This window comes from Homo sapiens, chromosome 3 (assembly GCF_000001405.40).
Source record: "Homo sapiens chromosome 3, GRCh38.p14 Primary Assembly".
NCBI classification, from domain to species: domain Eukaryota; kingdom Metazoa; phylum Chordata; class Mammalia; order Primates; family Hominidae; genus Homo; species Homo sapiens.
In genome coordinates, this window is record NC_000003.12 from 168,000,532 (window position 1) to 168,013,722 (window position 13,191).

A 13,191-nucleotide genomic window follows, 5' to 3' on the forward strand; every position below is an offset into this window, starting at 1 on the left:
CTCTGTTCTATGTGCATACAAACAGGCATTTATTAATTCAGCTGTTCTGTCCTCAAAAACCAGGAATATTTCCAGGTGTGGGGCTAAAAAAGGAAAAAGCAGAGGAGAAGGATGGGAATCAGAGTCTCCATTCTATTAACCTTGACTGTGCCCATATGCCTTCTTACAGCTCTGAGGAAATGGAAGCCAAGATGCTATAAAAAGGGAGGATAGCAGAAACTCCCAGGTGCTGTTAACACCCACTCCAAAGTAGGGATGCAGAATAAAGCTTCGAAAGCATTTGAATGGTATAGCCATGGGTCAAATTCCTATCTGTCTCCTTATGTCACAGCAGGGAGAAGCATAAATGCCTGGGTCTATTATTCCAGAGTAGAACCTGGTTCTATTGTCCAGTCAACTGTAATTGGCTCACCATCCCCTGATGATATATATTCATCATGATATCATGATCAGCACTCCACTGAAGCACAATAAAATAGGAAAGGCCTGCCTATGTTTCTTGAAACTTTTATTTTATTTATACAATATATACACATATATTCATACACACTGTTTCATGATACATTTATTTCTTCCTGTGGTCTCACTTAGAAATAAAACTAATTAAACTGCCAAACAGCTCTCCTATTGGGATTCTGCATTATTCTATAAAAGCCAGAGTTAATAGGTTTGAGAAACATTGTTTTGAGGGAGAGCAACTACACTAGTAGTTTTTTCTCTAAGAGCAGAGATGAATAAAACTACTGACTCATGCAATTTCCCATTGCCATACTCTAAAATTCCTCAGTGTGAATCTAATCTGTGAAAGACAGCTGTATCTCACTTTTATATATTTGTAATTATTAAAAAACTACTTCACCATAGACAATGTGGCGTGTCTACAAACAAGGGTATGGGCATGTGTGTGGTTAGTGGTTAGAGGATAGTCAACTTAGGAGGTTAATATTGGTGGTGCCTAATTATGAATACACATCCCAGCAATGGTTGACCAGCTCTTAATCTAGTACAGTGACTCAATCCTGGCTCTACATTAAGATCATCAGAGGGCTTTCAAAAATATTTTAGCAGTTATACTATTTTATTTTTAAATTATCATACAATAAAATCAATATTTTATTTGTTGTACAGTTTAATATTTTATTTTGTTGTACAGTATTCTTTTGTTGTATAGTATATTTTATTTCTTTTGTTGTACAGTTCAATGAATTTCAATACATGTATAGATTTGTATAACTACCCCCACAACCCAAACACCATTTTACTACCCCAAAAAATTCTCCTGTGTGTTCTATCCCTTCAGAGTCCCAATCTTCTCATAACTATTACCCCTATCAATCATAATTTGTTGAGAAGCTTTTAAAAAATATTAATGTCAAGCTCTGCTCTCAGAGCTTCTGATTTAATTAGACTGGGGTGAGGTCTGGAGGTCTTTTTTAAAAATGTAATACACAGCCAGGGTTGAGAAACTGGTGCTCTCATCGAAGTCCACATTCTGAAGGCTGCTACCATAAATGCTTCCACTATCTTTATCTCAATTCAGCATTAAGTGTTTCGTTGGCCAGCATTATGGATATTAAAGACTTCTTTTCATTGGGGAAATAGTGTTCAAAATATGTGAATGAGTTGTAGGAATTATGGTACAGGCACCTCTACCCTCTCACAAAGAGGTATGAGGATCTGATAACTCCAACACCCATTGCAGAAGAACATATGCCTCTTAAGGGAAGGCTTGGGCACAGGATGTAACTACAGGTTTAACAGAATTCTGCTCCTAAAATATTATAGGATTTGTCCTGAGCAAATCCTTCATGCCTCATGCCTGTCTAGAAAGCCTGAAAAGATTGGGAACTATAATTTCATTGGGCCTTAAGAAAAGTTTAGATGTCTGTTTCGACTTGCCTGTAAATATTTGCTTTGCAGATTTGGTCTGAGACTTGCTTTCATTGTAATTTGCCATCTGGTAGAGAAATGTTGAGGTGGGAAGCTTACTCTTTCCAACTCCTAACTTACAAAGCAGTAGTTCTCAATCTTGGCTGCACGTTAAAATCACCTAGGGAAATTTAAAAATCCTGATGCTCAGACTGCAACGCAGAGCAATTAATTCAGAGTCTCTGGGAATGGGATCCAGGCATCATTATTTTAAAACTCTCCAGGTTTGTAGCCAAGGTTGAAAGGTTACTAATATCTGCCAAAATATTATCTAATAATTTTGAACATATAAATTGGCTTAAATTTATTCAGCTCATTAAGCTGAATTCCATCTTCCTTCACCAACACATCTAAACCTGTCTTCCAGCAGAGCAGCTGGCTGGCTGCCCAGTAACACCATGCAGCTGCAGATCATCTTTACCCCTGACCTCTCCCTTTTGAGTCATAAACTCTGCCTAGAAGATATATCAGTTATCTATTGTTGTGTAACCAATTACTCCCAAACCTAAAAGAATAAACATTTATTTTCACATAGTTTGTGTGGGCCAGAAGTCTAGGATAACTCATCTAGGTGGTTCTGGCTCAGGGTTTCTAAAAGGGTTGCAGTCATGTTGCAGTCATCTGAAGGCTTGACTGGGGCTGGAGGATCTGCTCCATGCTCACTCGTGGCTGTTGGCAGGAAGCCTCAGCTCCTCACAGGCTGTTGGCCAAAGGCCTCAATTCCTTGCCACATGAATGAAGGTCACATTACAAGGCTGTTTGAATAGCCTTATAACATGGTAGCTGGCTTCCTTCAGAGTCAGTGATCCAAGAGAGATAACATGGAGGAAACTAAACTGGCTTTTATGACTGAATCTCTGAGTCATACATGGTCACTTTCCTTCAGTTTTATTTGTTTGAAGCCAGAAACTAAGTCTAGCCTATGCTCAAGGGAAAGGGAACTAGGCTCTATCTCTTGAAGGGAAGACTATCAAAGATTTTGTGAACCAATTTTAAAACCATTACAGAAGATAATTGACCAGGTTTTACAGAATATAAAATGTATTTTGACTCTCTTTATGAAATAGAGTCTAATTATACTAGGGTATATAAACTTAACAGGAATTAGATACCCACAGAACCCAAAACACTCAGAGCTAAGACCACAAATTTGAATTTAATGTATTAATACACAGCTATTGTAATTGGTATCCATACTTTAAATTTTGAAAGAAGAAAGGACACACCAGATCAAAAGATATCATCTCATCTCGTACAAGCCCATGTTCCAATGAACTAGTTCTTTAAAAGATATGTACTTTATGAGACATGCTATGTATGCGTTAATAACAGATAAACAGAAATGACACTGAATTTCAAGCTCCATTAGTAACATACAGGGAATGGGGAGAACAAGGTCAGCCAAGATGGTAAAGGACAAAAGGATTTCATTTCCAATTATTTAAAATAGTGTACAAATGTAGCAACAAAGATAATGTTGAGTGCTTGCCAATTTAAAATAGAAGGGATTATAACAAAGAACCAGAAAGCCTTAATAGCTGATGATCTCAAAATCTTCTATTGTGTGTAGAAATAACTGTTTTTACGACAAATATTTGGACCATGTAGACCAGGTGTTTACAGTCTGAGGACCAAACCTGACCTGCTTTCTGTTTATGTAAATAAAGTTTTATTGGCACACAGCCATGCTCATTCCTTTACCTATTGTTTCTGACTGCTTTCACAGTACAAAGGCAGAACCGAGTAATTTCAAAAAAGGCTCCACGGCCTGAAAAGACTAAGAGATTCACTGTCTGCCTTTTACAGAAGTTGTTTGCCAATTTTTGATGTAGACGAAACAATGGGGATACAAGAGTACTCATAACTTCATTAACGATAATCCTTAAGCTTTTATCACAGATCCTCTGGGCCTCAAAGACAGATCCAAGAAGAAAAAAGATTTTTTTTTTAAAAACCATGTCATTATTTATTAAAACTTACTACATTTGAGGCCAAAGGACTAAAAGTTAATCAAAATATTTCCTTTGTCACGCTAATATTGTTCTGCTTCATAAAATGTATAATGCTGAAGTAAGCCAGTTTTCTTTAGTTTGGTCAGTTTAAGATCCTCAAACTAGTTAAGATATAAAGGGGAGGGAGATTTTCTGGCAAATAAAATCATAGGAAGGCAGAACATGGGAATTTGAACACCATTTACTTTCTTTGTGCCTTTCTCTGACTCTCTCCTTTTCCTGCCTTCTCCTGTCTCCTCCTTCCCTCCATTCCTACTCCTTTTTATGTATTGGCATCATTCTTGTCTGCTGCAACTTGGTTTTCTCCACATGATGAGGACTATGACTCCTGCAATCTCCTGGTGTATGTGTTTCACGCCATCTCCAAAGCATCTAGACAGCATTTCTCTTATTCAGCCTCAGTGCAGAAATCTCAGACTGAGAAATTGAAGGGCTACTTTGGGACATGCTTGCTTTCCTCCATCAATCACTATGGTCTAGAAGATGGGGTCTAGAAGATGGGGTCTAGAAGATCAGGTTTTGGCCTACTCCTGTGGTTACAGGACCTGCTACAAACGAGGGGCAGAAGTGATAGTGTGGAGACAAAAGGCCAACCAGTGGATGAGCACATATCCTATTCCAATAACAACTGGCCCTCCTATCACAGTCACAAGACCCAAGGAACGTGTTACAGATATAGCATCTATTCCTCAGCTTAGGCAGGCCTCTTAGCAATCACAATTAATTATTAAATATATTCTAATCTGAAAACCTCTCTAGATTTCACAGATTCATTCACTGGTTTCTCAAGAAATTCTTTATTCTTTATGCTACAATTGATGCTTCAAAGAAGAGACATACAATGTTATTTCTTTCTTTGACTATCTCTTTCTTAGATCAAGTAATTCCAATATCTTGGTTCCTCCTCCAGAGCCTGTGGCTGAGACTTCATTCATTTTTCGACCCTCTTAGTACTTGTTATTGCAGAATTTAATATATACCTTCTTAATATATGAAACTCAGAATGTGACAATGGACAATGATCCAAACAATCCTTGATATATTTGAAATTAACAGTGGAATCAGACTGAGCTGGGAAGAATTCCTAGCTCTGCCATTTATTAATATGTGTCATATGGTCTTGAAATAATCAATATTTCCTTTTTACAGATGAGGACTCTAAGCTATCAATTTAAAAAATATTTATTGAAAATTTACTATATGCCAGTGCTTGGGATACAATAATGACAAGAGAAATATGGTCTCTACTTCCAGAATATACATGTCAAGGAGAGTATAGACAAATGTATAGACTGCTTCCATGCACTGTGATATGATATGGATAACATGGGTGCTATAGAACAGAAGGGTATGCATCCCAGACTCAGGAGTCAGAAGAGTGGGAGGTAGACTCTTCCCAGAGGAATTGGTATCTAAGATGAGACCCAAAGCAACCAGCCAGGCAAAAGAGAGAAGAGCAAATAAGGGTTGAACAGTGTTTCCGGGGAGGGTAGGTGGCAAATATACCATGATATAAGAGAACATGATGATTTAAAGGAACTGAATGTAATTCAGCTATGAGTCCAAAATCTTCAGGTGGCAAGTGACAGAAATGCAACTAGGTCAAATGAAACAGTAGATTTTATCAGATCATTAACTAACCTATAGAGAGACTTGGCTGGCATCAGGGATGGCAAGATATAGGGACTGGAAAAAATGCCACAACTCTCTCGTCATCTCTGCCTCTAACTTTTGCATATCTTTATAGGTAAAATTTGTTGTCTACTTTTATAGACTATTTTTTTTCCACACAACGAAGTAAATGAACACCAGAAGCACTGAATTCATGACATAGTAGTTTTACCATTGGGAGAGAAAACAGAGCTGCTCTCTTCTATTTGCCACAGCCTGCAAAAATGCCAATGATTGTGCAGCGTATGAGATTTTATCCACCTTACAACTAACAAGTTTGCCTGCTGCAGTTTCATGGATGTTGGCAGAAGGAACTACACTGCTGGGTCAGAGACAAAGGACTCCATTTCTAATGATCCAGCAGCAGTCGTGAGCTTCATGTTCACATCAGTTCCCCTTAGTCTCCAGGTGCCATGAGGTCCATGCAGAGCAGCCCAAGTGGATGTTGCACACACAGTGGGCATCTGTCATAGCTGAGGATCTCTGATCTTAGGAAACCCTCATCTTACAAAGAAGCTGCTGTCAAACCTGTCTAAACTTTTTCTCAAAGGAAGACATCATCTTTATTATTCAAGTCAAGAAACAAATCTGCCCTCCAACCCAGAAGGAGATACTATCTCTAGCTTCCAAGGCTTTTTGCTGTGCAGGTATCATTGAAAACACAGTCTAGGATAAAAACTGTCACAAGCTGCGTAGAAACTCCATGGAGGGATTGGCTTCCAACAAAAAATTCCAGGGAAGGAATCAAAATTGATGTATTTGAGGTCAAGTGCCTGTCCTCTATCAAGCACTTTGTCCAAGGAGATGGGATAGTATTACGAACACTGCAAAAGTCAATTTCCCATCCACACATGGGTTAAGGTCAGACACCAAGACATTAGGAGAGGAATGTGCTTGACAAAGATTAATCACATTTATTATGATTCAGTATTAGAAGGGATAAGATGGGGCCAGATCATAAAGAATTATGTAGGTTATGTTAATTAGTTTGGATTTTTTCCTATGAGCAATAGCAATTTGTTAAATTTTATAATGGGGTAGGTGTGGTATCCTTAGAAAAATCACACTGGTACAGATTTTAGGGATTGGCAGTAGAGAGTAAATGAAGAAATGAGTTAGAGAACAGTTATATTAGTCCATGTGAAAGGTAACAGGGGTCTGAACCAGAATAGTGAGTATGGAGAGAAGTGGGCAAATCTGAGGATATTTTTGGTAGCAGTCAAAAGGAGAGAAGACAGAATCAAGGACAAACAACATGTTTTTGTTTTGGGAAACGTCATGAGTTGAGACAGAAAGCCTAGAAAGAGAAGCAGGTTTTAACAAGGTAAATTCAGTTTTGAAACTTACATATTTTACATAGGATGGGACACAGAAAGCTAGGCTAAGGAAATGGATTCAAGACATTTGTATAACACATAGATGGGAAGAGGATTGAACAGAAAAAATACCTCTAGTACAAAACCTGAGGAACACTAATATTGAAAGAGCAGGCATAAGAAGAACCTGTAAAAAAAGATAATGTAGTCAGTATGCTAGGAAAAAACTAGGAGAAAACAGTAAAACAGAAACCACAGAAGGTGATTGAGAAATAGAATTAACTCACTCTTTTTAATGGCTGTGTAAGATGACATAGTATAGATGTACTACAATGTAATAGAACTAAAAACAAAACTAAGCATTAAAAGAAGTTAAATGTTAAGTGCTTTGGAAGACAAGGTTCTTCAGTTGTGAGAAGCGGATTCCATCAACCTTACAGGAATACTGTGGGGATTGAAGTGGATCCTATTCACATACTTCTTACACTATGAGGGCATTCAATACACGTCAAGTTTTCCTTTGTAAAATTAAGTCACTGGCACATGTGGCTAAGATTATGCTTTTACTCCTAGAACTCTTCCCAATCACTCTTGCAAATAACCAGTCATTGCATGTGTACTAGTTTTGTTGTGCCCCGTTATACTCATTGCCAATAAACGTGCCTTCCTCCCACAACCCCCACCCCCCACCCCGACTATACTCTTGGTACCAAATCCTTTGATTTATTGGTTGCACCAAAGTCACAGACTGGCAGAATAAATACTGGTGACATTTTATTTCTTGTCACCTCATTAACGTAGATCAGCTCAGGCTGATTAGTTCTCCTCTACACATTAGTTAGAATGGCTCTGTAACTTGGTGCTATACAGAGAGTAGAATGGTTTGTGATTGTTGCTTTCCTAAGGGGATTTAAAGTTTTTCATTTATTTTTTGTGTGTGCATGCACATGACACTCTCATACATTCTGCCCCATTTCTTTTTTCTTCCCTCAGAGCTAGCTCAAATAAAATAAACATCTTTAGCTCTTTCTTTAGAAAAAGAAGGGAAAATCACATGCCAATCCAAGTAGAGAAAGATACAGAAAACAGAAGCAGGTGGGAAAAGGCACTTTATAATTCATTAATTTATATTGGTATCTCTTAAAATTTTTCTTTTTATGAAAAAGAAGTGAAGAATGTTAGAAGGTCATAAACTAATAAGAGACCACATAGTTTAAAAGATTTGCCACTTTTTTTTTTTAGCTTTATTGACTATTACCAACTTTCAGTATGGTTCAAATAATTAAATACTGCAACTGGGACATTAAAAATACAAGCTAATTTACCAAAATAATTGTATTCTGAATATTATGTACAATATTATACATTTTACATTACATAATGGGTTTTTATACATAAAGGTAAGATTTCTGATTATTGGAAATACAAAGTACAACTGAACAAAACATTCCTATGCGTACATACACAATCACTCAACTGGAACAATCAAAACCATCTATGAGTGTGGTTATTAAAAAATAAAATTACGTTCATACAATGGTAGAAAATGAAATGTTTTTATTAATTTGATTATTAATACAAAACCACACATATATGAATTATATAACCTAGTGTTATATATTTAAAAATCTTTATGCTTGCAACTGAAATGTCTCTACTCCAAGGGAAGTTTCTGATTTTTAATTTTCTTATTTTAAGGAATCTATTATATTCACAATGATTAAAATGCCTTACACATAGGCAAAAAGCAGACCCAATCCCAGCAAACAGAAAAACCATAAGTCTATCATATCACCATATGTTTCACCATATAGTTTTGAAAAATAATCCTATTTGCAGTTTGGTATGTCTTCATATTTATACTTATTATCAAAGTGATTGCATATTGAGGCACAGAGCTTAAAGAGGAAATATATATTACTTATAGGGAACCAGACACTGAAACAAGAATATCAATCAATGGCTTCAAACAAAAAAAAAAAAAAAAAATTGAGAATGGGTGCTCGCATAGAAACACCACACGCAAACACTCATTAGTTTTTAACCAAGTCACTAGTCCTTCCAAAAGGTGAATATGTTGATGTGTCCATACCTTGTTTGAACACTGCAATACCTGATTAAGACCAGGATACTGCCACATGAGTTTTAATACTCTCTCATTTTTAAATTCAATTCCTCTTAAACAGAACAGCTATGATTTTAAAGCAATGACATTTTTCTAATTGATCTGAAAAGTCTGAAAAACAATGTCTTTACAACAAAAATGGATTTCCAATTGTATGTCACTTTGTACATAGATCTCACTCCAGAGATACATAGACTGGTGAAAATTCTATCAGAGCTATACATAAAGACATCAGAAGGGCAGCAATTAGTAAACAGGCCATTCTCTTTAAAGTCTGCATGGCATTTTGCAGTACTCTCTGTTCTTAAATCCTGTATTTTATCAAAGGCAAACAAAGAACACCTGGGAACTGGAAGCCAGAAAGGTAACACGCTGAAACATATACAAAATCAATGAGCTTTCCAACATCACATAATCTATTAAAAAAATTGGGACGTGGGGGCTCAGGTTTACTTTATTGTTTTTCTTCTTTTTCATGTTTAGCTTGAATATAAAAGAAGCTCTAGACCTACGTTATCAAAATATATTCATATAAATGTATGCGCATTTCTAATACAAAAGTTTTAAAAAAGTCTAAGTTCTTAATTTTTGTAATTAAATATCCTAGAGTTCAGTAGGCAGATTTATGTTTGAGCAGCTTGAAAAGAATCCGTTGGCTGAGCGTTGTCTAGAAATTGGGTGCCGCTACATTTCAGCTCTTCGATGTGATTTCTCAGCAACTGCAGCCCCGTCTTCTTCCTCCTCTTCTTCCTCCTCGTAGTGTTCCTCTCGGCCTTTGGGGCGGTTGTCATCTCGAACTTCTTGCTCTTCTCCATCATTATTTTTATCATCAGTCTTAAAATTAAAAGAAAAAAGAAAAACTAAGAGATAGTATAGAGTTAGTGATAAATAATTCTCTCTAAAAACAGGATGAAAAATTACTCATTTTTGGAGGAAAAAAAAGGAAGAAAAATGATATGTAAGCAACAGTGCTGCTGTCTCTCCTACTTTTCATGTTGTCACAACTTTTCCTAATTTCAGGTGGGCCTGTTAAATTCAGTGGTAACTCAGAGGTACCATTACCCACTGGTACGTATCCCAAATACATATATCTCTCCTATACACATGCACACCCACAAACACTCAAGTGCTCAATAGAAATATGTATCCCGGTCATACATTTTCATCATTTTCACCATAGGTCTCTTCAGCATTATGCTCCAGTTCCCTTTTTTTCTCTTCAGTCAAATCTTCCTGAACCTAAAACAAACCACAGATATCATTTAAACACTTTTGTCTTTCAAGCACTTGCGATAATATATTTTGACACTGTTATCATTTAAAGACTTGCAATAATATATTTTGATTTCCAAAAAGTTCACTCAAAATAGCAGAAGCAAAATTAAAGTAAATATACAATTGAAAAAATATGTCAAGGATTTATCTACTAGGTGTGAAGAAATGTATAAGGGAGGAGCCAAGATGGCCGAATAGGAACAGCTCCGGTCTACAGCTCCCAGTGTGAGCGACGCAGAAGACAGTGATTTCTGCATTTCCATCTGAGGTACCAGGTTCCTCTCACTAGGGAGTGCCAGACAGTGGGTGCAGGTCAGTGGGTGCGCGCACCATGCGCGAGCCAAAGCAGGGCGAGGCATTGTCTCACTTGGGAAGCTCAAAGGGTCGGGGAGTTCCCTTTCCGAGTCAAAGAAAGGGGTGACGGACGGCACCTGGAAAATCGCGTCACTCCCACCCAAATACTGCGCTTTTCCGACGGGATTAAAAAACGGCGCACCACGAGATTATATCCCGCACCTGGCTTGGAGGGTCCTACGCCCACAGAATCTCGCTGATTGCCAGCACAGCAGTCTGAGATCAAACTGCAAGGCGGCAGCAAGGCTGGGGGAGGGGCGCCCGCCATTGCCCAGGCTTGATTAGGTAAACAAAGCAGTGGGGAAGCTCCAACTGGGCGGAGCCCACCACAGCTCAAGGAGGCCTGCCTGCCTCTGTAGGCTCCACCTCTGGGGGCAGGGCACAGACAAACAAAAAGACAGCAGTAACCTCTGCAGACTTAAATGTCCCTGTCTGACAGCTTGGAAGAGAGCAGTGGTTCTCCCAGCACGCAGCTGGAGATCTGAGAACGGGCAGACTGCCTCCTCAAGTGGGTCCCTGACCCCTTACCCCTGAGCAGCCTAACTGGGAGGCACCCCCCAGCAGGAGCACACTGACACCTCACAAGGCAGGGTATTCCAACAGACCTGCAGCTGAGGGTCCTGTCTGTTAGAAGGAAAACTAACAAACAGAAAGGACATCCACACCAAAAACCCATCTGTACATCACCATCATCAAAGACCAAAAGCAGATAAAACCACAAAGATGGGGAAAAAACAGAACAGAAAAATTGGAAACTAAAAAGCAAAGCGCCTCTCCTCCTCCAAAGGAACACAGTTCCTCACCAGCAACAGAACAAAGCTGGATGGAGAATGACATTGACGAGCTGAGAGAAGGCTTCAGACGATCAAATTACTCTGAGCTACGGGAGGACATTCAAACCAAAGGCAAAGAAGTTGAAAACTTTGAAAAAAATTTAGAAGAATGTATAACTAGAATAACCAATACAGAGAAGTGCTTAAAGGAGCTGATGGAGCTGAAAACCAAGGCTCGAGAACTACATGAAGAATGCAGAAGCCTCAGGAGCCGATGCAATCAACTGTAAGAAAGGGTATCAGCGATGGAAGATGAAATGAATGAAATGAAGCGAGAAGAGAAGTTTAGAGAAAAAAGAATAAAAAGAAATGAGCAAAGCCTCCAACAAATATGGGACTATGTGAAAAGACCAAATCTACGTCTGAATGGTGTACCTGAAAGTGATGGGGAGAATGGAACCAAGTTGGAAAACACTCTGCAGGATATTATCCAGGAGAACTTCCCCAATCTAGCAAGGCAGGCCAACGTTCAGATTCAGGAAATACAGAGAACGCCACAAAGATACTCCTCGAGAAGACCAACTCCAAGACACATAATTGTCAGATTCACCAAAGTTGAAATGAAGGAAAAAATGTTAAGGGCAGCCAGAGAGAAAGGTCGGGTTACCCTCAAAGGGAAGCCCATCAGACTAACAGCGGATCTCTCGGCAGAAACTCTACAAGCCAGAAGAGAGTGGGGGCCAATATTCAACATTCTTAAAGACAAAAATTTTCAACCCAGAATTTCATATCCAGCCAAACTAAGCTTCATAAGCGAAGGAGAAATAAAATCCTTTACAGACAAGCAAATGCTGAGAGATTTTGTCACCACCAGGCCTGCCCTACAAGAGCTCCTAAAGGAAGCGCTAAACATGGAAAGGAACAACCGGAACCAGCCACTGCAAAATCATGCCAAATTGTAAAGACCATCAAGACTAGGAAGAAACTGCATCAACTAACGAGCAAAATAACCAGCTAACATCATAATGACAGGATGAAATTCACACATAACAATATTAACTTTAAATGTAAATGGACTAAATGCTCCAATTAAAAGACACAGACTGGCAAATTGGATGAAGAGTCAAGACCCATCAGTGTGCTGTATTCAGGAAACCCATCTCACGTGCAGAGACACACATAGGCTCAAAATAAAAGGATGGAGGAAGATCTACCAAGCAAATGGAAAACAAAAAAAGGCAGGGGTTGCAATCCGAGTCTCTGATAAAACAGACTTTAAACCAACAAAGATCAAAAGAGACAAAGAAGGCCATTACATAATGGTCAAGGGATCAATTCAACAAGAAGAGCTAACTATCCTAAATATATATGCACCCAATACAGGAGCACCAAGATTCATAAAGCAAATCCTGAGTGACCTACAAAGAGACTTAGACTCCCACGCATTAATAATGGGAGACTTTAACACCCCACTGTCAACATTAGACAGATCAACGAGACAGAAAGTCAACAAGGATACCCAGGAATTGAACTCAGCTCTGCACCAAGCGAACCTAATAGACATCTACAGAACTCTCCACCCCAAATCAACAGAATATACATTTTTTTCAGCACCACACCACACCTATTCCAAAATTGACCACATACTGGGAAGTAAAGCTCTCCTCAGCAAATGTAAAAGAACAGAAATTATAACAAACTTCTCTCAGACCACAGTGCAATCAAACTAGAACTCA

General features: G+C 38.4%; 1 protein-coding gene across 5 annotated transcripts in view, besides 1 other annotated feature; it reads right to left on the reverse strand.

The window, feature by feature from the left end:
- Window positions 1–8,157: 8,157 nt before the first annotated feature.
- Window positions 8,158–13,191, reverse strand: part of GOLIM4 (golgi integral membrane protein 4) — an 87,236-nt gene continuing 82,202 nt past the window's right edge. For all 5 annotated transcript variants that reach the window (NM_001308155.2, XM_005247365.4, NM_014498.5 and 2 more), the window contains 2 exons: window positions 10,212–10,292; window positions 8,158–9,887 (listed from right to left, as the gene is read on the reverse strand). In NM_001308155.2, the coding sequence (NP_001295084.1) occupies window positions 9,738–9,887; window positions 10,212–10,292 (231 nt within the window). In that variant the 3' untranslated portion in view covers window positions 8,158–9,737. The remainder of the gene's footprint in view (window positions 9,888–10,211; window positions 10,293–13,191) is intronic.
- Window positions 10,717–11,228: an enhancer, noted in NCBI's record as "NANOG-H3K27ac-H3K4me1 hESC enhancer chr3:167729036-167729547 (GRCh37/hg19 assembly coordinates)". NCBI's record gives its function as "activates a minimal SCP1, AML or CMV promoter by ChIP-STARR-seq in naive and primed H9 embryonic stem cells {active_cell/tissue: H9 hESC(naive and primed)}" and the evidence as "EXISTENCE:reporter gene assay evidence [ECO:0000049][PMID:30033119]".